This window comes from Homo sapiens, chromosome 3 (genome assembly GCF_000001405.40).
Source record: "Homo sapiens chromosome 3, GRCh38.p14 Primary Assembly".
Taxonomy (NCBI): Eukaryota; Metazoa; Chordata; class Mammalia; order Primates; family Hominidae; genus Homo; species Homo sapiens.
This window is the reverse complement of record NC_000003.12, coordinates 72,422,674-72,450,016: the sequence shown is the minus strand read 5'-3', so window position 1 is coordinate 72,450,016 and position 27,343 is coordinate 72,422,674. Positions and strand designations below refer to the sequence as shown.

General features: G+C 39.8%; 1 protein-coding gene across 1 annotated transcript in view, besides 3 other annotated features; it reads left to right on the top strand.

The window, feature by feature from the left end:
- Positions 2,548-2,957: a silencer, noted in NCBI's record as "silent region_14529". NCBI's record gives its function as "represses an Ori minimal core promoter by ATAC-STARR-seq in GM12878 lymphoblastoid cells {active_cell/tissue: GM12878}" and the evidence as "EXISTENCE:reporter gene assay evidence [ECO:0000049][PMID:35858748]".
- Positions 3,018-3,077: a silencer, noted in NCBI's record as "silent region_14528". NCBI's record gives its function as "represses an Ori minimal core promoter by ATAC-STARR-seq in GM12878 lymphoblastoid cells {active_cell/tissue: GM12878}" and the evidence as "EXISTENCE:reporter gene assay evidence [ECO:0000049][PMID:35858748]".
- RYBP (RING1 and YY1 binding protein) overlaps positions 3,394-27,343 on the top strand; it is a gene marked incomplete at its 5' end in the record, with an annotated part of 72,027 nt that continues 48,077 nt past the window's right edge. Inside the window, 1 exon segment of the mRNA NM_012234.7 lies at positions 3,394-3,521. Within this exon segment, the coding sequence (NP_036366.3) occupies positions 3,394-3,521 (128 nt within the window).
- Positions 9,560-9,659: an enhancer, noted in NCBI's record as "active region_20086". NCBI's record gives its function as "activates an Ori minimal core promoter by ATAC-STARR-seq in GM12878 lymphoblastoid cells {active_cell/tissue: GM12878}" and the evidence as "EXISTENCE:reporter gene assay evidence [ECO:0000049][PMID:35858748]".

The window sequence follows — 27,343 nt, the reverse complement described above, 5'->3', positions numbered from 1 at the left end:
TCAAATGAAATATGAAATGGAGGTTCAAGGGAGGAAACAGAGGAGCAGGGACTGGCTGGCAACTCTCACTGTTACTCTCACCCCATACTGGTCCAAGATGACATCTTAGAGGAAAATTAGTTCCCCACCCAGCTCAGCCTCTAAACCCCACTCCAGAATCACAGTACGCTCTGCCTAGAGCCACAGCACTCTGGAGCACACTGTACCAGAAATAGTCCCATTTGACTCATACAACTACAAGGAGACTTTCAATAGATATTTGCCTCCAACATCTGAATGAAATTAGAGCCTCTAAAGTTACAACCACATGGTGATCCTTGGGTCTGATAAGTTCCTAGAGATAGTTCTCTACTCTGAAATTGTTTTTCTTAAACACATTTTTTTGATTTTTTGGTTTTTTTTTTTTTAGACGGAGTCCTGCTCTGTCGCCCAGGCTGGAGTGCAATGGTGCAATCTTGGCTCACTGCAACCTCCGTCTCCCTGGTTCCAACAATTCTCCTGCCTCAGCCTACCGAGTAGCTGGGATTACAGGCGCCCATCACCACGCCCGGCTATTTTTTTTTTATTTTTAGTAGAGACAGGGTTTCACCATGTTGGCCAGGCTGGTCTCGAACTCCTGACCTCAGGTGATCCACCCACTCGGCCTCCCAAACTGCTGGGATTACAGGTGTGAGCCACCGTGCCTGGCCCTTCTTAAACACATTTTTAAAAACTTTTTCTTTTTTGAAAAGATAACACAAGACAAAGATACAAAACGACATACTAAAACAGTCAACCTCCTATGGATAAATTACAGTGTATTTGCAATGGAATTCTACACACTTAAGCAAACAAAAATGAACTATTGATGTAGGCAACAACGTGGATGGATATCACAAATATGCTGAGCGAAAGGTGCCAGCCAGACACAAGAGTACAGACCATATGACCCCTGCATATGACCTTAAAGAACAGGCAAAACTAATCTTTGGTGACAGAAGTCGGAATTGTGGTTACCTAAGTGAGGGATGACTCATTGGGAGGATAAAATGTTTTATTGTTCTAATGGTGGAAAGAGGGGTGTAGATGTATGCACTAAGCTGCAGTGTGAAAATTTGTGTATTTTATTCTATGTATAGAATAATAACAAAGTCTCCTTTCCACTACTATGGCTCCCAGCTACCTCCCCGGAGGCCACTCTTCCAGTGAGGATTTCTTAGTGCCCCGTTTCTGTCACGACCTTCATGCCAGGGGCAGAGTCCTGGGAGCATGCCAGGGAGACACCAGAGGCCAAGGCTGCTCCATGGCGCAGCTGCACTGGGCCATGGCTTGTGTACGTACCCTTTGGCTTTCTACGGCCCTTTTACCCCTAGAACGCTATCCCTCTCTCTTCCTCTTCCTTCTTTCATCCCTCCCCTAAGGAGGCAGCTGTGGCATTGAGGCCTTGAGAGGTTGCTGACCCTTGCTAAACAGTGTTGCTTCTCCTGGCCCTCCTGGGTGCGCCTGCCTGGAGAGGACACTGCGTGCTGATCAAACTTATTGTTGACACATTCATTCTCTCTTTTATTCTCTCCCTTCTGATCCCTGGACTGATCTCTAGGAATTTCTGCTCCCTGGGTGCTCAGTCTCAGTGAGCTTCCCTGGTGGCAAGCCCTGATATGCTTCCCTTCCATGGGGCAGTCCTGATAACAACCTATTTTATATTTGCATATAAACCTGGCTGAGGGTCTGTCTTAACTCCAATCCCCCCACCCCCGGGCCCCAACTCCTAGCAGCATTCTAAGACTCCGTCCCTCCCCTAACCTGGGGCTTCAGCACAGCCGCGTCTGTGTCTTTTATCATCTGGGGTCGTCCTCCTACCAGATCTCCCTGCCTGAGGACAGAGGGTCCTGAGTCACGTTCAAGTCAATTTGGCAAGCGTTTTTGGAGCAGGGCAGAAAGTGAAGGGCACTACCCTGTTCCTCGACTTCAAAAATCGAACGCGGGGGAAATGGTGCACAATTCAGGCCCAGTTATAATAGCTCCTAATACCCAATATCTTGTTTTGGTCCTTCGTGAATACCAGGCATCCATCAGCGAACCTTCCATGCCTGATTTCTCCGAATATTCAAAACAACCCTGGGAGGATGAGCCCCATTTTGGAGATGAAGGAGCTGAGGCACGAGGTTTTAATGCGGGCATGTGGTCGCCAGAATTTGAATAGCAACTTCCCTAAGGAAACGCCCTATTTAGACTCTAGGGGAGAGGAGGATCCCAGGAGGAGTCCGCCAGCAGAAGCTCAGAGTCTGGCCTGGGGGCATTTAGTTATGCCACGCCCTTTCTCTACTGTTCCCTCCCGCGACAGGGGCCTGACAGGGAGTGGGGCTTCGGGCCAGCGTCTCGGCCGGACGCAGGGACTTCAGAAGAGGCAAATACAAAGCTCCGCATGGCAGAGGAACAGAGGGGCGCGGGGGAACGCGGTCCAAAGGTGGACCTTGTCGGCCCCTGGGCACTGCAAGCCTCGAGGCGCTGCGAGCGGTGAGGCTGTTGCAAGCTCCCGCGGCGCGCGCAAACTGCGTGGAACTACTTCCCCGGGGCGGCTTCGGGGCCGGGGTCCCGGCAACAGCCTCACGGGGCGCCGTGCGGGGCCCGAAGCCAGTTGCCAGCTCCCGGGCGCGGCCACGTGCGCCCCGCCGGGCTTGCACGCTCCGCCGCGCCGGGCCGCGGGGCCACCGACAGGCACGCGCGCCCCCAGCGCGCACACACTCCCGGGCACGCACACCGACCGCCCGGCCCACGTCCGCCACGCCCCGCCTTCCCCCGCGCCCCGCCTCCGCCCTCGCGGCGCCGGCCGCCGCCCTCCCATTGGCCGCACGGCGCGTGACGCGCGGCGCCAGGCCCCGCCCCTCGTCAGTCACTCGGCGGAGGCGGCGCTGGCGGGGACTAGTCTCGTCCGGAGACTGTGATGGATTTAACCAGGTGGGGAGGGAGGGAGGGCGCGAGCTTGGGAGTGGAGAGGGAAGGAGCCGGCCCACTCCCCGTCGCCGGCCTCGGGCTGCCCCTGCGCGCCCCCTCCAGATCCGGCCCGCGGCTCCCCTCCCGGCCCCCCCAGCCCCACGCTCAAGTCCACAAGTCCGCCCGCTTCCTGCGCCCGCCGCGGCCCTTCCCGGGGCGCCGCCGCCACCGCCTGGTGTGCGAGGCTATCCGGCCCGGGCCCGGGGCTTGCAGGGTGCCAGTGGGGGCGCCCGGTTCCCTTCCTCGCTCTCTCTTCCAGTCCCCGGAAAGGGTGGGTGGGTGGTCTCCCGAGCGAAGTTTCCAGCACTGGATTCCTGCGAAATTACGACGGCTCACCCGCGTCTGTGTTTTGCTGTCTCTCCCCCGTTTTCCTGCTCCCTGCCTCTTCCCTCCCTTTTCCCCCACTCTCCACTCCTCGGAAGGCCAAAAAGACAAGCGAAACCTGCCGCAGACGAAGGGTTTTGGGATTGTAGCGTCTGCACCTTCAGAAACAGTGCTGAAGCCTTTAAATGCAGCATCTGCGATGTGAGGAAAGGCACCTCCACCAGGTACTTGAAGATCTGTGTTACCTTTTGTTAAAGGACTTTTTTTTTTTTTTTTTAAGTGAGAGGGTAGTGAGCCTTACTTTCTGCCCTTTTTCCAACTTGTTGATTACGGCTTTTTTTGTATTTGCGGGTGGGTTGTGTGTGTTTTTGGGTTGAGTGTATTAAGTGTTGGGTGAAAAGCCTTGTGTTCGCTAAATGATTTATGGGAGGGAATTTTTCCAGGTTTTCATTTTATTTCAAACGGACACTGGATTTATTTGACACTTGTGTCTATTGGCTTATTGGTATTGGCTGGGGAAGAGAGGAAGCAGTACTATCGCTATGGATTGTAGGACATAGATGTTTTATATTTTTGCCATGTGTAGAATGGTTTTAATTTGCCTGTCCCGAGTTACTTTTCTCTTGTCTGAGAAATTTAGTGGGGGTAGTAAGGCTGGCTGTGCTTTTCCTGTCTTGAGCTGCAAATGTCTGTTACTTTCTTGCACTTGAAAATAAATGTCGGTATTTGATAAAGTAAGTGCATTTTGTGGGAGACTGAGCTGTCAGTTTTTTTTTTCTTTGACTAGCTTATGTGGGGTGGTGATGGGGGACGATTTTGTAAAATGGTGAAATGAGCAGTGACTGTGGAAGTTTGTGTTTAAAGCTCTGTGATGATGAAAAGAATGTTGAAAGAATTCCTTTTCATTTTGATGAAGGTCGTAAACTGCATGTGATGTTAAAACGAGTTAACTACTTTAGATTTAACATTCATAAATACTTGGATAAAATGTCAAGACTCATGTAGTCTTTTGGTCATCTTTTAATTTATGTCTGAATTTGTTTCATTGGCGTTAGAGTTTGAAGTTAAACTGTTCTTGGTGTCATTTAATGAACAGGCATTGGGTGTGTGTGTGAGACAAGAATGAGTTTTTGGTGGATCCTTTAGAACATTACAGTTGATTGCCAAAAGTCTCATTTTATCAGGTACTTATTTTTGAATTGGTGACATTTCAGTGTGACTGTGTAGTAGTACTTCACAGTTCCAACTGGATATTGTTCTTTGATTAGATGAATATGTCATGTTAAGGTTTCATTGGTTTATTTATACTTGGGATTAAATAGGATTATTGGGCAACCTAAAATAATCTAACTCTGAGATTAATTGGCCTAATTATTGTTTCTGTGAATTGCACTCTTTAAATGATGATACCTTTGAATAAAAATAATCAAAAACTAAAAATATTACTCCATACGTTGTTTTAAGAAATTTTTGTCGGTGTTTTGTATTATCATGGAATATATCTAAAGTAAAAAACACGCATCAGTAGTTTCATAGATTTTGTTTTGCTGTCTAAAATAGGGAATTCCATCAAATGGCATGAAAGTTTTTAGAAATGTATTTGTTATTTAAAGCAGTAGTGATTGTATATTATTTATGAGTAATGTTTTTTACATGTAGAAGCCCTCAGAGGCCAAACCTCTTTATTGTGGTTTTGCTTTGAGTGTTACCGTAGATGGTGTTCAAGTAAATGATTAGGAAACTCCTAAGAACTTGAGAACATTACTGGTGAAGAGAAACGTAAACCAAATTCAAAAGTTTATGTCTGATTTATCGCTGGGAATGATTATCTCATAATGAAGTGCATTTCAGCTTTTAACATGTATTTTAAAAAACCTTACTCATCAATTTTTCGGAAGCACATGGAAGGTGTTGACTTTTAAAAAAGGTATGTATGTATGTTTAAAGTTTTTTCAGAGCCGCAGATGACTGTTGAAACTTAGTTAAAACTACTGAATTATTTACAGTGAAAATATTTTAGAGTCTATTCAGGAACAGGGAAAGGCGTCTACTTTAAGGGTCTTCGAGTAATTTTCTGATGTCATTTAATAGAATTTGAATACAGATTTAACAGGTGTGAGGACTGAAAACTGTGTGCATTCATGACACTCTTAGCTGGCCACAGTTGGTTTCATTTTGGTTATTGTCAATATTTTGGTGTTTTAGATCTATTCAGAAGTCATCGTTGGTTGGAATGCAAATAACGTTTTGGTTTTCCTACATTATGAACAGGTTTTATGTGGAGAAGTGAGTTTGACAGGTTTTCATCCTATCCTGTCTTGTGTGTTAACTGTTGGTTAATCCCTTTGTGATACTGGTTACTGCCATGTTTTTTTCTTGGCCCTCTTGTATTTTTTTTGTACCTCAAAAGTTTGAGTATGAACTTGACATTTTCTATCTTGTGTAGTTTTAATCAGACTTGGTATAGATTGATGGCAGTAGAAAACTTGTGTTTTGGATGCTGGGTAATAGGCAATATTTGTGATTTTTAGAATAATTTGTTTCGTGGCACAGAAATTGTATTTTATTGCTCTGAGCTGGTGTTATGTATTTTAACAATTCTAGCTAGTTGGCTAGCCGGTGGTTATTTTGCAGTTTTTGATCATTCTCATCACTGTCACCTTCATCTACCAGTCAACCAAGGAAACCACCTATGACTTAGTGGTAGGCCAGTATGATAGAGAACTATATTTGCCCTTTGAGGGTAGAATTGATATTGCTGATGTGATTGGGAAAATACTGCCATTCGTCTGAAGAACACTTATTAAATTCGTAGGATATGAAAGATGCTGCTGAAGGGATTGGAGAGAGGAGAGGGGAGTGTTAAAATGTTGATAAGCCGTGTATGGGAATGACCATAATTCCAATTATAAAGGCTGTACGGAAGCAGGGGTCTGGCTTAGGGAATCAGTTAGAAGGATTCCTTCTTCTCCACTTCTTTTGGACAAGGAGAATTAAAAAATCACCTGTCACCTTTTCACTATTACCATGTACGTCAGATATTTTTAGTTCTGCAGGTGGAATTGTTAAGGTGATTGAGAATGAGGTCTTTTTTTTCTTTTTGGAGCAGCAATAGAGCAGAATGAAAGGTGAGATGGTCTTAAGGAATCTGTTAAGGGAAGAAGGTGGCCTAGGCTGTGTGGAGGTTCAGGGGCAGCAGGAGAGATCTATATTTTAGATGTATTATCAGTATGTGTTGGGTGTCTTTGGTTTTTTGATAAACTTGTTTTTCTAACTAGACTGTCCACTCTTTGTGCCTTTTCTGGTTATATATATATCCTTTTGTTTGGAGACAGGGTCTTTCTCTGTCACCCAGGCTGGAGTGCAGTGGCATGCTCATGGCTCACTACAGCCTCAACCTCCGTGGCTCAAGCGATTCTTCCACCTGAACCTCCTGAGTAGCTGGGACTACGGGTGTGCACCATCACATCCGGCAAAGTTTTGTAATTTTTGTAGAGACAAGGTTTCGCCCTGTTGACCAGGCTGGTCTTGAACTCCTAACCTCAAGTGATCTTTCTGCCTTGCAGGAGTGAGTGATAATTTACTTATAACACCCATTGTAAGTCTGCAAATCAGTGATTTCTAGTCATTTTAAAGAGTTGTGCAGCCATCACGGCAACCCAGTTTTAGAACATTTCCATCATGTCAAATGGTTTCGTTATATCCGTTCTGTAAGTCTAACAGAACAGAATGGAGAAGTCATGGGCAACAGGTTGCTTCCCTACCATGCTGATGTACCCTGAGCCTTTCAAGGTAGAAAATAAAAGTGCATGTTAGAATGTGTGTGTAAGGTGGCAAGTGGCTGGGGGAGAAACACTATCCCTTTCTTAAGTGGTAAAGTAGTATTTCCCATCCTGCTTTGCCAGTCTCAAGAAAGAGGATACCGGCTTTTAAAAGTAGAAGAAAAAAACTACAAATGCATGAATGTACCCAACTGTGTGTGTTTTTTTTTTCTTTGTATTTTCCACCTTCCTACACTTCCAGCTGATGTTTTTTTTGTTGTGGTGGTGGTTTTTTTTTTTTTTTTTTAAATGAAGAGACAAGGTCTTGCTATGTTGCTCAGGTTGGTCTTGAATTCCTGGCCTCAAGGGATCCTCCTCCATTGGCCTCCCAAAGTGCTGGGATTTGCCCAGCCCCTAACTGTTGTTTTGTTAAGTTGCATTTCTCAAGATTGGGCAGAGTAGCTTCCTAGACTTGGTGATTTAATTTTACTTTTCTTGTCTTGTTATTTCTCTGCATTCAATGTTACCTTAATTGTAAAATAAAAATTACCAAGACATTGCTGAATATAGTTGTTGATTAGTGTTCCCTTGATAGTAGTCCTGCATTTTTACTTTCAGCTACTGCTTAATCACATTCATTTGCAAAATTGGAAAATTTTTACTTTGGCTAATTACCATAGGTTTAGAACTTTCTGGTCTTCAGCTCCAGAAATGTATCGCTGTGTTGAGATCATGTTTTATTTCATCCATGTTTATTTGAATACTGCCCCTCTGAAAAGCTGACTGTTTTTGGAGCTTTTATACACAAGTATGAGTGAGGAAATTACTTTAGGTGTAGAATAAAATTGTGTAGAAATAATTATCTTTGAAAAAATTTGGTATTCAGGATATTGAATTGGAAGTGTTGAAGAAGCAGCTGTTTTGTGTGTAATACGTTTCTCTTGTTTGAGAATTTACCAGTTTTTTGCAGTTGTAGCTTTGAACTATCCATTCCCCCCTTAAATTTAGATACCCTGACAACCAAAAATCTCTTGAATTGTCATGAAGTACTTTAGTAGAAGTTTTATGGAAAAACACAACATAGCTATGATCTTTGCTGGAAGCTTCAAAAAGGCATCATCGTGTGATGCTTTTTAGGTAGAAAAACTCCCAGAAATAAGATAAGGTACCTACACTGGGCAAAGCCCAAGCCTCTTACTCATGTTTCCTGGTAATCCACAGCAGTGGTTTTGCTCCTTTCATGACATTGTTTTTGTTGTAGTGTTTGTCTTTCATAAAAATTCTCCATAAAAATATATAAAAATTACCTGTCTTCCAAATCAAACTTTTATCAAACCTTCCAAGCTGAAAGCTGGTACAATTTAAGATCATTTTACCCAGGAACAGAGTAATAATTTATTTTGTGTTTACTGTTTCATTGGACTTACTGATTTATTGGTGGTGACTTGATCTTATGTGTACTTGGTGACCTTAAAGTAAATTACCTGGGTAGTTGTGGTCATTTGACAAGTTTTTATTGAGCACACAGCCATTTGCGCTCTTGGTGTACAGTGGTATAAAGACAGACCAGGTCCCTGTTCTTACGGAGCTTAAAATACTATGGAAAGGAAGAGAAAATAAACTAACAGAAAAATAACAATTTCAGCTGGCGACAAGTGCTACGAAGAATTTAGAGAAGGGTAAGGAACTACAGAGTGATGAGAACTGGGTGGAGTGACTGCTTTATAGACAATGTTGAGATAATGCATTTAATTTTTTAGGAAAAAGTAATGCTACTTCCTTTTGGAGCCGGGGATAATTCTTATGTAGGTTTACCTGTGCCATTTAGCTCATTTGGTTGGGGGACAGACAGCTTTTAGATTTGGAGCCCTTGTGCATAGGCTGCTAAACTTATAAACTTAGTTCCATGTTGTAGACTAAACCTAGGCCAGCTAATTTACTAGTATTGTTAGTCATTAGGGTGGGAGATTATGAATGGATTCACTTACATATTATTTATTCATGTGGCATATATTTGTTGTGTATTTCAGTAGGTGCTGAAGAAAATTCCAGGATTAAGAAAAACTTTCTCAAGTAGCTGTAGTTTACCAAAATAGTTATCAGAACTAATTTGGTTCATTAGGACTTTGAGTAAATAGTAGGTCTCTCGTGTCCTAAATGACTTGAGCTAACACATTCTGCAGTCTTTCTGGCACTTCTTTTCTCTTTTGCCTCATCACCCATGCTTTTTCTCTTTGTGGCATCTTCTGTGTTACTTTTCATAACTAGTACTCCCACTTCCCTTTTTACCTATAGATACAAACTTTTTCAACGGTCGCATACATAGAAGTGCACAAATCGTAAGTATAAGGATTTGATAAAGTTTTGCAGAATGAGCATATCTTTGCCACTAGCACCCAGATTGATTTTTTTTTTTTTTTTGAGACAGGTATCTGGCTCTGTTGCCCAGGCTAGAGTGTGGTGGTGTAATCACAGCTCACTGTAGCCCCTACTTTGAGGCCCAGGTGATACTCTCACCTCAGCCTCCTGAGTAGTTGGGACCATAGACATGTGCCATCATGCCTGGCACATTTTTAAGGGCTTTTTTTTTTTCTTTTTGTGAGACACGGTCTCCCTATGTTGCCTAGGCTAGTGTCTTATTTCTGGGCTCAAGCGATCCTCCCGCCTCAGCCTCCCAGAGAGTTGGTATTATAGGCATGAGCCACTGTGCTGGCTTGCACCTAGATTCTTAAAGAGAACATTACTAGAACATTACCGGAAGCCCCTTGTGCACTGTCCCCTGTGGGCCACTTCTCCCACCCCATTCCTGTCTTTTAATACTAGAGATCAGTTGTGCTTGTTTTTGAAATTTATGTGAGTGGAGTATACTATGTATACAGTACACAGTAAATACTGTATGTACCACTGCCTATATACAGTATACTCCACAGTGAGTGAAACAAGCCAGACTCAGAAGCATACATACTGTATGTACCACTTTGCTTAGTAGCCACAGTGTATGCACCATGGTACATGCATATACTTCTGAATCTGGCTTGTTTCACTCATGGTTAGGTGTGCAGGATTCATCCATGTTGTTGTGTGCAGTTCTTGCTTATTTTACCAGTCTGTCTTATCCTGAGAATATCTTTGACATTCAACTCTGCATGCAGACCCTTCCTTACACGTTCTAGAGAGAGGACCTGTCTTCACCCTGTGTTTATTACCCACATACTTGAACAGCTGTTTCCTCCAGGCATCATTATGCAAAAGGAATGAAACCCGGTGTGTGCAGCTTTTTTAGAGGACGTAAAAGGAGTCAGCTCTTGCCTCTCATCAATAGTATTGTTTATCAGTCATTTCTCTTTTGAGGCATTGGTTGAATAAATGGGAAAATTCCTGCTTTCAAGGAACTTAGCAGACTTGTTGACAGATAAGACCATAAGAAGAAAGCCAGTGAAGTACCCAGTGATGTGAACGCCATGGTATGAGCAAGTACATAATAGAGACCACAAGTGCTTTTTAGAAGTTAGAGATAGTCATTCTCTGGGGCTTCCTCAGGAAAATCCTCGCTGAATCTGGGATCTAAACTGGGCCTTATGATTCTTGGATATAAGGTTTGTTGTATAGGTTGATACAAGTTACTTATTAATAGTTGTTTGCCCCCCTCCCTTTCACTATCTTTAGGTGATGATGTCCACACCTTTCCACATCTCCTCAGGAGCTGGTGATTCCCAGATACTATTTGTTAACCTGCATCACCACTCCCATGCACACGAACACAGGACAAACAAATCCAGCTGCTTCCTGGCATCTCTACTTGAACAACTTAAAGGCAATTCAGATCCCACAGGGTGAAAAGCTGAATTCATCTATCAGAGTGTTTTCTAAAATCCCAAGTAGATTATGTCCCATTCCTGCTTAAAATGATCTCCTGATTCTCATTGCCTTTTGGATAAAATCCAATCCTGAGTATCAACAAGGGGCTTGTGATTTGGTCCTTTTCTGTGTCATTCTTTAGAATTTCTGGAAGCAGCCTATCATCGCTCCGTCTGCCCTCCATACACAGCGTTTGTGTGTGTTATGCCAAACTGCTTGGTGTTTTCCAACCGTGGACCATGATATCTCACTTCCTTAACCTTACCTTCATATGCTTTTCCTTTGTGTCTTCTTCTGAAATGCTTCTTCCTTTTGTCCAGGCTGACTCCTGTTTGTCTGAGACTTGTGTCTCAGGAAGCCTTTCCGTTCCCCTCCAGTCATTCATACCTCTGTCATAACACATAGACTGTATTTTTAATTTGATTTCCAATCTGTCTCTTTTAGGTTGTCACCTTTTTTGAGGGCAAGACCTTTTTGTTTCATGGCTTTAGTTTGCTGTGTTTGTTACAGTGCCTGGCATTTGGTAGGGGTTGAGTAAATGTATACAGAATAAATGAAGCCTGGGAGAAGGAGTTCCAGTTAAGAGTTCTAATAAATAACTGTTTTTTCAAAATCTTGGGGCTTTCATCTTGTGTGTTGAATGTTACTGGATTAGGGGAAAGTTGTCTTTATGAAGTGGGCCCTTTAAACTAGTATTCCTGTTTTTCTGTTATAGTTCCCTACTCCCCGCCCCACACCCCCTCTAAAAAAAAAGTACTAGAAGTTACACACAGAACTGTAGCCTTGGAGGCTGTAGGCAGTGCATTTAAAGTACTTCTGGAGTGGTTTTGAGCTTCAGAGCATTGACACACTTCCCTAAATAACTGTGACAATTCTTTCTATTTGCTGTTGCCCATCGGTGATTTCAGTGGCCAGTAGTCATACTGGAAAGTCTGATAATAAAGCAGGGGATCAGTCATGTGGTACCAAACCAGTTGTGGGGAATGTTAGATGTGTTAAGATGTGATTAGCAACGACATTCCTGTTTGTAAACTGGCATCTATGGCGGTTTAAAAATGGTGGCAAAACCATTTTGAGTATTGTTGGAAATGTTATCTGTTCTGCCGTGTTAATATACCTATAAGTTGGTAGTTGCATCTTGTACCCTTGATAGTCATACTTTGTACATTGTGTATGCCACTCTTCTGTTGAGTAATTTGGATTAATTACTTTGGAGATTGAAGTCTTGACTCATTCACTTCACTCATTTATTTAGCTGTATTTTCAGTTCCATGCAATGAGTGACACAGACTGTGCTGCCAAAAAGGAATTCTCAGTAAGGGCAATGCACATAAATTACTGTGTTACTCAGAAATCATGAATAGTTGAGATCACAAGGTAAATGGTAAAAATTTTGTTTTTAAATAGGATTAAATATGACTTTCTCTCCTCCTTTCTCCCTCTGTCAATTTAGGAAATCTACTTAAATTGTCCTGTGGTTGGGAAAAGAAACTAGTGGAAGGAATATGTTAAAAAAGCATCTTTCTTAAAATGTATTCAAAATATTTTTCTCTACAATTTAAGAGCATTAGCAAATACAACCTAGGATGAAACTTTAACAGCCTTTGAGAGGGACAAGAAATGAAATTAAGGGTGATATATGATGCCAGTATCATCGGTGTATTGGGTCTCATAATACATACAATACATGGTAGTTAGTCATAGGGAGAAAACAAACCTGGTGGCTGCTTTCTAAGAACAAATCAGATTTCTTGTGTAGCTATGTGGTTTAACTGTTCTTGCCCTTCTTTTACAAAACTAAACAGGTTTAGTATCATAAGTGCTACAGAAATAGTCAAGATTGCAATAATTAGGAATCTAGCTCAAACTACCTTAAGTCAAAAAAGCCAAAAATTTATTGGCCCACGTAGCCAATGAGAGAAAGTTGATGTTTAAACTCAGGGAAACGGGAAGAACTGCAGGAATCAGAACTCCTGTCACTTGACTAGTCCCTAGATTAAAACAGAAAAACAAATAAACAAATGTCACCCATCATCCTGCCATTCAGAATTATTTATTGAGCAGTTTGTTCATTGGACTTCACGTATTTGAGTAACTACGGTTTTCCAGGTGCTTTGCTTTAATAATGATATTTCACTGAATTTTCAAAACGATGGTTCCCTGTGGTAGTGGGAATTATGCTATGTGTTATATGAAACAAAGTAAGTTTGATTTTTAAAGGCGTGTATTCTGGCCTGTTGGTTGATAGAGTTCATTTTGATTTCTTCTTCTAGGGGAGAAGTTTTATGAACACTTAATGGTTTTAGAGTTCTATTTGTAGAAAATAAAGATAAAATCCAGATTTATTTCAGGATTATTTTCATTTTGGGAAGAACCAAAACATTGGATTCTTAATATCTATAGCATAATTAACTTTGCCCAAATCTTCCATTAAAGAATAATTATGTATACAAGAGAACCCACATGTAATATTTTTGTTCTAAATTTGTTTAGAGTGCTGGTTCTCAAACTTTAGCATGTTATCAGAATCACTTGGAAGAAGACTTCTTCAACACATTGCTGAGTCCCATTCCCAGAGGTTCAGAAAATTAGATGTTGACATTTTCAAAGTGAACTTAAGAGAAGTAAGTGGTCTGCATTTATAGGAACCATGTTTTTGGCATTTGAGGTGATGCCTTAATTGATGAAAACATTGTGCAAAGTATAGGAGTGTTTATAAATTAGGGAACCATATCAATTAAACTCTTATCTTTTTGCATTCTAAAATCATCTATCTTGCATTATTAGCACTTAGGATTGGATTTCAGATATGTTTAAAAAAAAAAAAAATCTCATTTCTGGCTGTGATGTGGTGGCTCATGCCTGTTATTCCAGCACTTTGGGAACCTGAAGCAGAAGGCTTGCTTGCTCACAGTTAGGAGTTTGAGACCGGCCTGGGCAACAAAGTGAGAACCCGTCTTTACAAAAATAAAATTAGTTGGGCATGGTGGTGCATACCTGTAATCCCAGCTACTTGGGAGGCTGAGTCAGGAGGATCCCTTGATCTCAGGAGTTCGAGGCTACAGTCATCTATGACTGCGCTCCTATACTCCAGCCTGGATGACAGAGCAAGACCTGGTCTCAAGAAAAAAAAAAATCCTATTTTTTTTTTGCATTGCACAGCGGAGAGATGGAACCAGGTCTTATAATCAGTAAACCAATATTCCAGTAAAAAGCCTGCAAAGAATGCAAATAAGTAATAAAATAACTACAAATTAAGTCAGTAAATATGAGAAATGTATAGCCTACCCATTACTCAAAGGAATACAAAGTAAGATAACTTTTTTTTTTTTGGCAAATCAAGTTTTAAAGATTAAAAAAATAACTTCAGTGAGACTGAGAGATAGGCATTCTAATAGACTCTTTGCGAGTATGGGAGTTGATTTACATTTTCTGACTGCCAGTACGGCAGTTAGTATCAAATGCCTTTGAAATATTTGTACCCTGTGATCCAGCAACATAACTTCTAGGAATTTGCTTGACCTGCTTATAAAAATTTCTGTTACGAATTACGTCATTATTACAACAAAAAATTGAAAATGACTTAAATAGGGATCCTTAGGGAATTGCCAAAATTATGGAACCACCATGATGGAATATTTTGCAGCTGTTAAAAATGTTTGGTAGGTTTTCATACCTGTCATTTGTTTTTTTTTTTTTTTGAGAGGGAGTCTCTCTCTGTTGCCTAGGCTGGAGTGCCGTGGTGCGATCTTGGCTCACGGCAAGCTCCACCTCCCGGGTTCACGCCATTCTCCTGCCTCAGCCTCCCAAGTAGCTGGGACTACAGGTGCCCGCCACCACACCCGGCTACTTTTTTTGTATTTTTAGTAGAGACAGGGTTTCACCGTGTTAGCCAGGATGGTCTCCATCTCCTGACCTCGTGATCCGCCTGCCTTGGCCTCCCGAAGTGTTGGGAGTACAGGCATGAGCCACCGTACGCAGCCCATACCTGTCTTTTTTTTTTTTAAGTTTTCAGATCTGCCACACATTGCTGGTGAGAATATAAAATCGTACATTCCACTTTGGAAAATAGTTTGGCAGTTTCTTACAAAATGAAACATATACTTACCATATGACCTAGCAGTTGCCTCCTGAGCATTTATGCCAGAGAAATGAAAGCTAATGTTCACAAAAAAAACCTGTCCACAGCTTTATATGTAATAGCCCAAAACTAGAAAAAACTCACACGTTCTTCAGTAGGTGAATGGTACATTCATACTATGGAATACTATTCAGCAACAAAAAGGAACAAACTATGGATACATAGAATAACTTGGGTGGACTCCTGGGGCTTTATGCTGAGTGAAAAAAGCCAATCTTAAAAGGTCTCGTACTATAGGATAATTTCAAGAATTAACATTCTTGAAATGACAAAATTACAGAGATAAGAGAACACATTAGTGGTTGCCAGGAGTTAGGACTAGTGGCAGGAGGGAGGGAGATGGATGTAACTGTAAAAGGGTAGCAAGAGGAAGATCTTTGTGGTGATGAAGTAGGTTTGCATCTTGATTGTAGTGGTAATTACATGAATCTAAACGTGATAAAGTGGCATAGAACTATATGCATACCTACCAGTGTCATTGTGTTATCAAGAAGGTGCACATGTTGGGAAACTGGGTGGAGATTACATGGGACCTCTGTGTACCATTTTTGCAACTTCCTGTGAATTTATAATTATTTTCAAAATAGTTAAAAATGTTGAGAATATGTGATGATAAAGGAAAAGGTTCATAATCAGAAAAACAAGTTACAAAATGATAAAATTACATGAAACTAATATTTCATACCATTCATACTAATACATATACCTGGAAGGAATGACTGATAAAAACCTTAACTCTGAGATGATGGATTCTTTTTTGCATTTCTGTAGTGTATGTGTGGATGAGTCAGTATCACTTTTATAGTTGGAAGAAAGCAGTTTTCCTAATAGGAAATTTTTAGAATTAATCTGGTTTGGAATATTTAAGTGACAATGTGTTTTTACATTAAGGGATTAAAATTTTTATCAGGCACACTACTAACTTAGTATTAAAACAGCTGTTAAGATTGGAAAGTATCTGAATGTATTCTTTAAAATATATTGTATTTGTAAATTTAAAATTGTTTCGTACTCTTCATATATAAGACATTTTGTGTGATGTTCTAAATCAGTGCTATCCAAAAGAAATATATTGTAAGCCACATGTAATTTTAACTTTCTAGTAGTCACAGGAAGAAAGTAAATTAAGCAGGTGAAATTAATTTTAAGAATATGTTTTATCGAACCAATTATATCCAGAATGTTTTTTTTAACATGTAACCAGTATTACAGTGAGATAGTTTACATTCTTTTTTTCAAAGACAGTCTTCAAAATCTAGTGTACATTTTAGGGTTACAGCAAAGTTTAGTTCAGACTAACCACATTTCAAGTGCTCAGTAGCCACCTTTGGCTAGTGGGTACCATATTGAAGAAGAGGATGAGTAGTTGGGAGTGAGGGCTTTGATGTCAGACCCAAGTTTGAGTAACAGCAGCTCTGCCATTTGCTCACCTTGTGACCTTGGGTATGTTACATGAACTTGTGCTTTTGTTTTTCATTTATAAGGTAGGGATAATAACTTCTCCATAGTGGTATTAGAAGGATTAAATGAGTCAATGTAGGTAGCATGCTTGGCACAGGACTGGGCACAAAATATGTACTGTAAATAGTATATGTTACACAGTGATAATTTTTTAAATTCCCATATATTGTGTACTGAATTGAATGAGTAACCATTCTAAAAGTGTGACTGATTTCTTAGTAGTAGTAGTAGTGAGTAAATATATAAGCAGTACATGAAATAATCCTTACTTTTTACAATTAAAGTTTTGGATCCTTTTAAATTATGACTGATTGAATACACAAATATTTGAGTACTCATGTGCAAAATATTGTACCAGCCACTTGAACATTTAGAAGGTAGATCTTAAGATGATATTCTCAGATACTGTATATTTACATAAGTACTTGACATTTTGCATGCCACTTTTGTGTCTTTTTTTTTTTCAATTAATACTCAAAGCAATCCTGAGAGATAGTTGTTACTCTAACTTTCACAATTGAAGACGCTGAGTTTCAGAAAAGTAACTTACTTGGTGTCATACCCAGTTAATAGAATAGAAGACAGGTGATTTAATTAAATGGACAAATTTAATGTGATGTTTAAAGTGTTTCAGCTACACTCCTTTGATTATTTCCCTTCCAACTTTGCCATCTTTTCCAGGACCATTTAAATTAGAGGAGGACAATAAGATGTCACTTGAGGAGTTACCTTGCTCCGAATTATCCTGAGGTTATTAGCCTATTCAGATAAGCTATAATGTAAAAAGTTAACATAAGCCTGTATAGATTAGATGATTTATTTTGCTTGTTGCAGTGTTTCTCTTTATAAAGTTGAGTATTCTTCATCCTGTCTTTTGGATACATATACCTATAAAAACGGGCCAAGAATATGCATTCTGTGCTGACTGCCTTAAAATCGGATTCTTTGAAGTGTAGTTTGTCGCTTCACTTATTCAGAAAATTACACAATTCTTTTAAGGAACTGCGTGCCACCATTAAAATCACTAGTGAAAGGCAGTGAGTTTGTGAATGATTGACTTTCCCAGGGCAGTGGTGCAGTGGAAGGCACTCGTTACCTGGGCAGAGTTAGATGGAGCATATTTCATTAGTCGTTCAGGCTCTGTGTTCTAATGTGTAGATTTTGTTTTCACTGTATGCGTTGCTGGCTTTATTTCCAGTTTCTTCTCTAGTTAAAATATGGAGGAAGTCACAGGACATCCAGTTTGTTCTTGGGTACTATGGGACAAAATATATGACAGTAAACTATCAGCTCATCTTGGCAAGTACTTTTGGTGTGGACCACTGAAGCATATTTGTAGGAAGGGAGTTACATTTTGGTGCTCAGGATGGGAGTGATGATAGTTTCAAAGATTTCTATTTTGGAAGAGGGATCTCAAATGCCTAGGGTTTCTGAAAAATTTCACTGTATACAGTTTCTGCTACTGCAATTACGTTATAAATAAATGCTTTAATTATAAGATACAACTTTATATGTGTAAAGATGTGTATACTAGGTTAAGATTTAAAACCGTGGGTTGCAATTAAAATAAAAGATTCCCTGAAATTCATGGAACTGGACGATGTCTTTCCTTTCCTTCTTTATGTTTTTTTAAAGACAGGGTCTCGCTCTGTTGCCCAGGCTAGAGGGCAGGAGCATGCTCATAGGCCACTGCAGCCTTGAACTTCTGGGCTTAAACAATCTTCCCATTTCAGCGTCTCAAGTAGCTAGGACTACAGGCTTGTGCCACCAGGCACAATTTAATTTGGTTAAATTTTTTTTTTTTTTTGTAAAGATGAAGTCTTGATATGTTGCACAGGCTGGTCTTGAACTCCTGGCCTCAAGTGATCCTTCTGTCTTGACCTCCCAAAGTGTTGGGATTACAGGCATGAACCACTGAGCCTGGCCAGAACTAGATGATGTCTATGTCTTTTCCAGTTCTAAAATACTGTGTTATGTCAGTTTGGGCAATTTGTCATACAGTAAGATGACTCTTAAAATTTTACAGTGCCAAGTTACTTGTCTACAAATATATAGAGAAGATAATTTGTCATTTATTCTCCCCCAATGTGTTGTATAGATATTCATGCGTTTTGTGACGACTTTTCTTTCTTTCTTTCTTTCTTTCTTTCTTTCTTTCTTTCTTTCTTTCTTTCTTTCTTTCTTTCTTTCTTTCCTTTCTTTCCTTTCTTTCTTTCTCTCTTTCTCTCTTTCTCTCTTTCTCTCTTTCTCTCTTTCTCTCTTTCTTTCTTTCTTTCTTTCTTTCTTTCTTTCTTTCTTTCTTTCTTTCTCTTTCTTTCTTTCTTTCTTTCTTTCTTTCTTTCTTTCTTTCTTTCTTTCTTTCTTTCTTTCTTTCTTTCTTTCTTTCTTTCCTTGTTTTTGATGGAGTCTCGCTCTGTTGCCCAAGCTGGAGTGCAGTGGTGCGATCTCGGCTCACTGCAACCTCCACCTCCCGGGTTTAAGTGATTCTCCTCCTTCAGCCTCCTGAGTAGCTGGGACTACAGGCGCCTGCCGCCATGCCCAGCTGATTTTGTATTTTTAATAGAGACGGGGTTTTGCCATGTTGGCCAGGCTGGTCTCAAACTCCTGACCTCAGGTGATCCACCTACCTCGGCCTCCCAAAGTGCTGGGATTACAGGCATGAGCCACCGTGCCTGGCCGCATTTTGTGACTTCTAAAGAGGAAAGCTTTATCTTAAAAATTTTTGGTAGTGTTATTTATGTGTAGCTGAACGGTTTTCTTATTTAAGTTATAATTAAGGTTTTAATTTGGAAATCTTCATTCAGGGGTTAACAAATCTTTGCCCCATTCTAAGAAATTAAACTCAATGCAGACTGACCAAAGACAAGATTCAGTCAGTCTCCTTTTCAGGATCTCTGAGATGAGGGCTTCAGGACAGAACACCTGGTATGGAAGGCTAGTGTTTTCAAGTATAAACAGGTGTACTGCAGCCCTAAGGCTGTTCTTACTTAGACCTTGGTTATATTAATTAAAAGAATGACACTGATACATCTTTTTTTTTGAAAAGTGTTTTTATTACTGAAATGGTTAATACTGAATCATGCTCCATAGCAAAGCTTGGTTCTAATAGAACAGGTGTACATTGGGTGTTTTTCCTGCTTAACATTTTTTGATACCCATCCCTAGCATTCAGTCTGACACCAAATTCTGCTGACTTTATTTGTCCAGTATCCCTGCTGCGACTACCTTAATTTAGGTTCTCATTATATTTCATTTTTTATTTCAATTCTTAATTACAAGCCTGTATTGCCCAGACCTGTACCATTGCAGTAGCCTTGAAACTGTTCTGCCAAGTCTAGTCTGTTGTGCTGCCTAGAGATATCTCTAGAAAGCACATAGATCATGTAGTGTGCTTAAAAAACCCTGGATATACTGCCTCATTGCCCAAAGAGGTCTTGCCCTTCTTAGCATGCACTTTCTGGTCAAACTGTTCAGTGTCTGAACATGTTCTTTTATGCCACTGTGCTGCCTGCCACATGTACTTCTAGAACTGCTTGAAGACTTACCTCTTTGCTACCGTGGTAAATGCTAGCTTCTGCTTCAAGACCCAGCTCGTGGTAACTCTTTGGGGAAACCTTCCTTGATTCTTTTTTTTTTCTGTGACAGGATCTTGCTTCTTTGCCCAGGCTGGAGTGCAGTGGTGTGATCAAAGCCCACTGTAGCCTCAGAACTCCTGGGCTTACGCAATCCTCCCACCTCAGCCTCCCAAGTAGTTGGGACTCTACAAGCATGTGCCACCATACCCAGCTAATTTTTTTCTCTTTTTTTGAGAGATGGGGGTCTCCCCCATTTTGTCCAGGCTGGTCTTGAACTCCTGGCCTCAAATGATCCTCCCACTTTGGCCTTCCAGAGTGCTGGGATTACAGGCATGAGCCATTGCTGGGCCTTGATTTTTGTCTTTTGTGATCATTGAAGCACTTTGTGATATACTTACCGTACCACACAATCATGTTGTACTGGAATTTCGTGTTCACATTTGCTGCTCCATATCCGCCCCGTATGAGGCTCTCAGGGATAGAGACTGTAACCTGTTGAATCTTTAGAGGCAAGGTCTTACTATGCTGCTTTTGTGTTCTTCAAATGTATTTAGAGGGCAGTCTGTTCTTCTGATTTCTTATTTAAAATGTTTACTTTTTAAAATAATTGTGTGATATATTGGCTAACCCCCTCTGCAAATAGGTTTATTCATTTAAAACCTTTGGGAAATGCCTTGGAAATACTGCTACACTACTTTCCTTTTTCACTTCAGTTTCTAGTTTTACTCTGTGCATCATCTCTTTTGTTACTCTTAAGATGATTCCCTTGATTGTCTGTCTCTCTTTGAAGTTCATGCCTGCTTTTCTGTTCATAACAGGTACAACAGTTGATTGCTAAATAGGATTCTTCTGAAGCACTGTCTGTTTTAAAACGGTGATCCCTCTTAGTAGAGCTCCCATAGAATGCCTTCCGAAGTTCTCTTCTGCTCTGTACTCTCTGGCTGAAAGTTTCAGAAACAGAGCGACTAGAGTGGTCTAGAGTCAGAATACAGTGTAAGGAAGCAAAGGGGATGAAAATTGAGAAAATCGTGAAGTCTGTATTCTTCATGAGATTTTGCAGCTGAATAGGACTCAGAATAGTTGTAGTTCTCTTGGGCTAGATAATTGTTTGAACTGATAAATAATTTAGATACCGGAATTTTCTCTCTCCTTTTTCAGGAGCCACCTCCTAGATAATCTTCCTCTTCAGCTGGTACTGTTTTATAAATGAAGCCTCTGAATTGTTCATTAGTATTTTCAGACCTCTTTTATCTAGTAAGTTTTATGAGAGAAGACATTTTTCCTGATGAATTGGAATGTTTTGATTAAAATTTTTTTTTTATGTTTTAAGTTAATTTATTAGACATTAGTAAGCACTTAATTTTTGGGGCACAGTATGTGTGGAGACTAATGCTCAACTACAAAGTTAGTTTCTCCATAGATGTTATGTAGAAACTTCTGTAATCTTCAGTACCTAGTTTAAAAAAAATTAGAATTAGGAAATGATCTATATAGAAGTGAATAAATTTAGTACACAGTGACTAGATTGATCCCTAGATTGGGGGATTTTTGCTAATTTAATATTAGATTTAATCCTAATAGTTAAATCAACTGGTAATGCCATGAATAATTTTGATCCTTTTGTGGTTTTGAAAGATGTATTTTCAGAATTAATTTTATTACCCTCATAACATGCTCAGAGAACTTTGGTGTAAAGATAATGCGTTGTTTTTCTTGGTGGCCAATACAATCTTTTAAAGTGTACTTTTTAGCTTAGGTATCCCTGGAAGTTTTTGTTCTCAGTTTAATGATCTTGTCAAGTAAATACCACCTAATTATCTATTCCTATTCCGCTATCATTTATCCAGGCAATAGAGTTTTATATTAAATAATGCTTTAGGAATGAGAGATTTATTTGTAATTCCTATTCAGCTATCTTGTCTATAAAGCAAAATTCATACTTACAGTAGTTTGTATTCTCTTAACTTCTCGGTTAATAGGCAGTGTGGTGAAGTGGAAAAACCCTACAAACTAACACAATGACAAATACATCTTGGATATTTTTGTGTAGTTCCCTTGTCATTTTAACTTTTTCTAATCTGCTAATGAATCAGACTTTAGAGGAAAGAGATAAGAGCTGACCTTCTGACTTCCTCCATATAACTGAGTAAACCTATCGGGATTGTAGATTTCATTTCATTTCTTTTTTTTTTGAGACGAAGTTTCACTTTTGTTGCCCAGGCTGGAGGGCAATGGCAGGATCTCAGCTCACCGCAACCTCCGCCTCCTGGTTCAAGCGATTCTTCTGCCTCAGCCTCCCAGGTAGCTGGGATTACAAACACGCGCCACCATGCCTGGCTAATTTTGTATTTTTAGTAGAGATGGGGTTTCTGCATTTTGGTCAGGCCGATCTCAAACTCCCGACCTCAGGTGATCCACCTGCCTCAGTCTCCCAAAGAGCTGGGATTGCAGGCATGAGCTACCACGCCTGGCTGTAAATTTCATCTATAAGAGAGTGATACTTGTGGTGTTCTTGTGTTTATATATTTTTTCCTCTAAGAAAGTGGGCTTTTTGACTGATGGCTTGTTCTTTAGAGTCATAATATCTTTAGTGTATAGATAAACCAAAATTCTTCTATATTTCTGTGATGGAGGACATAATTTGACCTTCAGGTTAGTGAATATTTGCATTGAGTTGTGCAATATTTCTTCTACGTATATGAATGAACACATATCTGATTCTTGTCACAGGCTGTTTAGAATCAGAGGAAACAAGGCTTGTTGGTCTCTGCTGCTTTACTGCAAAAGCAATGTGAGAGTGATGAATGCAGAACAATTAGTGTAGCTGCCAGTTTTCAGTTGTCTTATATGATTGGAAAGTTCCTCATCTAAACACTAATTTATTTTAATCATTAAACTTTTCATTATTTTCTCCCTCAAAGATGCGCCCCCCCTCAATCAAAAACAAAAACCCACCCAAGCCCTAAAATTAAACCAAAAAAAGACTTCTGGCAAATAAAGTTGATTTGCTTTTCTTTCCTTACCTCTGGCCTTTGAAGATTCAGAGACTCAAAAGTAGTGAAACAAGTCATACTTCTCCCTATATCCTGCCCACAGAAACTTTCAGATGACATGAAGGAAGAAAGAACTAACTAGATAGTTGACTTTTGAGTAAACTCAGGCTTTGTTTCTTCTCTATCTTGTGGTAGATAAGAAAGACTTTGGACCAGATACTGGTGTGAAGATAGGAAGAGTAGGATTACTTTATTGTTGGGAATATGGGAAATATATTCAAAATATATGAAGCTGTGTTCCAGTGTAAATATGCTAGGTTGATTATCTCTTCCAGTCATCACGAAAACTACTTCATGCCTTGGTGAAACTGGCAACATGGGTTGTTTCTGAAGAGATACATGTTTTAATTTATGAGGTGTATTTTTTGTGTTTGTGTGTGTAATGGTAATGATGATATTCATACTGAATTTACTGCTACAATGTTACAATCTGTTGCCAGTTAAAATTACCCAGGAATGAAGATAGAGCATTTTGAAAATACAAGTTAGTGGTAAAATACTTTGTTGTACAAAAATAGAATTTATTTGTTGCATTTCTATACTACATCATCAAATAATATTAAACAGTTGGATTTTATCTCCTGGTAAAACTTGTCTAAAGTAAATGCTGTAGACTAATGTGTAATTTTGAATTATTTAGTCTCTGTATTTAAGAAAATCCAACAAGTATTATACTGCAGCCAGCATAAAAACACAGCATTTGCCATCCTTATTTAAAATTTTTCAGCTTTATTAAAGTGTAATTGGCATGTAAGTAACTTTACTTTTAAAATATTACCTGGGAAACTACCACTGTGAAGATAATGATCACATCTGTCACCCCTAAAAGATTTCTCCTGCCTTTTGGTAATTCCTCCTTCCTGTTCCTTTGTCACAGGCAGCCACTAATCTGCTTTCTGTCACTATAGATTAGTTTGCATTTTCTTGAATTTTATATAAAGATAATAGTGTATGCGTTTTTTTTTTTTTTTTTGGTTTGCCTTCTTTCAGTTATCATGGTTATTTGAGATTAATCAGTGTTTATTTTGTTATTGCTGAATAATATTCCATTGGGTGAACAATCTGCAATTTAACTGTCCGTTCACCTGTTGAGGGACATTTGAGTTTTTTGCAGTTTCTAGCTCTTACAGATAGAGCTGTTGTATGCATCCCTAAACAAGTCTTTGTGTGGACATATGCTTTTACTTCTCTTGAGTAAATACCTAGGAGTGGAATTGCTGGGTATTTTTAACTTTTTAAGAAACAAGCTGTTTCTCAAAGTGGTTGTATCACTTGAAATCCTACCAGCACTGTATGAACTCCAGTTTCTTCATATCCTTGCCAGCCTTGATATGGTCAGTCTGTTTAATTTTAGGCTGGTGGCAGGTGTCTAGTGGTAAAGTAGCTCATTGTGGTTTTATCTTCTGTTTCCCTAATAACTAGTGATGTTGAGCCTGTTCTCACGTGCTTATTTGCCACCTGTATTTTTATTTATTTATTTGCTTATTTTGAGACGGAGTCTCACTCTGTCGCCCAGGCTGGAGTGCCGTGGCGCAATCTTGGCTTACTGCAACCCCTGCCTTCTGGGTTCAAGCGATTCTCCCACCTCAGCCTCCCGAGTAGCTGTGTCTACAGGCATGCGTGACCATGTCTGGCTAATTTTTGTATTTTTAGTAGAGATGGGGTTTCGCCATGTTGGCCAGGCTGGTCTCAAACTCCTGGCCTCAAGGGATTCGTCTGCCTTGGTCTCCCAAAGTGCTGGGACTGCAGATATGAGCCACTGGGCCTGGTGGCCCCCTGTATATTTTTTAAATGTCTTCATATTGTTTACTCATTTTTCAATTTGGTTGTTTGGCATTACTGAATTGTCCTTTATCCTAGATTCATGTATATATTTTGAGAGTGTCTTTTGAAGAGCACACTTAACTTTTGCTTTTTGTGTGATAGTTAAAAAAATCATTACCAAACCCAAGAACACTAAGATTTTCTCATAGCTTTACCTTTAGAAGGTTTATAATTTTAGCTCTTATATTAAGTACTTGGATCCATTTCGAGGTAATATTTGAATACATATTTCTAAGGGTGAGGTAAGTTCATTTTTTTTTTTAAACGTACTGCTATCTAATTGTCCTGGCACCATTTATTGAAAAAAATTACCCTTATTGAAGTGCCTTTGTATCTTTGAAAATCAATGGGCTGTATATGTGTGAGTCTCTTCATTTTGTTTCATTGATCTTTCTTTACACCAGTACTATTACTTAAATAATGTAGCTTTATAAGTCTTGAAAATTAGGAGAAGTGTAAGACCTTCAATTCTTTTTAGAGTTATTTTGGATATTCTACATCCTTTGCATCTCCTTTAAAATGTTATAATTAGCTTGTCAATTTCGACATAAAAGGGATGCTGCTGGCATTTCTATTAGGATGCATTGCAGATATAGATACATTTGGGAAAAACTGAAAATCCAAAACATTGGACTCAGTATTCCAATCCGTGAACATAGGTATCTCTGCATTTATTTAGGTTTTCCTTCAGCAGTGTTTTGTAGTTTTCAGTCTCATTTGTTAGATTTATCACTATTTCATATTTTCGATACTGTGTAAATGTTACTATTAAAATGCCAATTTCTGGTTGTTTCCAGGTAGTTTATATACAGATTATTTTTGTATATCTTGTTTCCTGTAACTTGGCTAAACTTAATAGGTTCTAGGAACTTTTTTTTGTAGATTCTGTAGAATTTTCTCCATAGACAATTTTGTCTTTGAATTGAGACAATTTTTACTTTCCTTCCAATGTGGACACCTTTTATTTCTTTCGCTTGCCTGTTGTGCTAGCTAAAACTTCCAATACAGTGTTGAATGGAAGTTTTGAGAGTGGACGTTCTTGTATTAGTAAGTGTAATGTTAGCTGTAGTAAACATTTAAATAGGTTTAGGGAATTCCTTTCTGTATTAATTTGCTGAGGGTTTTTTTTCCTTAGTCTGGGTCTTGCTCTGTGGCCCAGGCTGGTGTGCAGTGGTGCAGTCACAGGTCACTGTGGCCTCAAACTCCTGGGCTCAACCTGTCCTCCTGCCTCAGCCTCTTGAGTGGCTGGGACTAATGCACCACTATGCCTGGCTAATTGTTTGGGGGGCCAGGGGGGTGGAGATGGGATCTCACTGTATTGACTACACTGGTCTGGAACTGGCCTCAAGCCATCATGCCATCTGGCTTCGGCCTCTCAACGTGCTGGCATTACAGGTGGGAGCCATCGTGCCCAGCCCACTGAGCGTATTTATTAAGGAACAGAAGTTGGATTTTGTCAAATATCTTTTTCTCCTGCATTTAGTAAGACAGTCATACAGTTTTCCATATAATGCTGGATTACATTGGTTGATTTTTGATTGTAGGAATCCTAGACCAACTTGGCATTCCCAGATTAAATCTTACTTTGTCATGATGTATTTTCATGATGAATAATCCATGTTGGATTATTTTGTTAAGAAAATTTGCATCTGTCGTCATGAATGACATTGGTCTGTACTTATTTTTTACCTTCTAGGCTATTTGTCTGGTTTTGGATTCACGGTAATGTGGGTCTCATAGAATGAGTTGGAAAATGTACTGCCCTCTTCACTTTTCTGGAAGAGTGTGTGAAGAATTGAAATTTTTTTTTTCCTTTTTTTTTTTTTTGAGACGGAGTCTCACTCCATCTCCAGGCTGGAGTGCAGTGGTGCAATCTCGGCTCCCTGCAACCTCCGCCTCCTAGGTTCAAGTGATTCTCCTGCCTCAGCCTCCCAAGTAGCTGGAGCTACAGGCACCCGCCACCACGCCTGGCTAATTTTTTGTATTTTTAGTAGAGACGGGGTTTTACCATGTTAGCCAGGATGGTCTTGATCTCTTGACCTCATAATCCACCCGCCTCAGCCTCCCAAAGTACTCGGATTACAGGCGTGAGCCACCGCGCCCGGCCTGAAATTATTATTTTCTTAAATGCTTGGTAGAATTTACTAGTGAAACCATCTGGTCTAGGATTTTCTTTCTGGGGAGGTTTTACTACAGATTCAATTTATTTAAAATACATAAGGGTATTCAGATTATTGATTTATTCTTGAGTGAGCTTTGGCAGTTTGTACCTTCCAAGGAACTTAGGAATTTGTTTGTTTTATTGAAATAGTGTTCATGAGATTTCCTTATCTATACCTGTAGAATCTGTAGAGATGTCACTTCTTGTTTTCA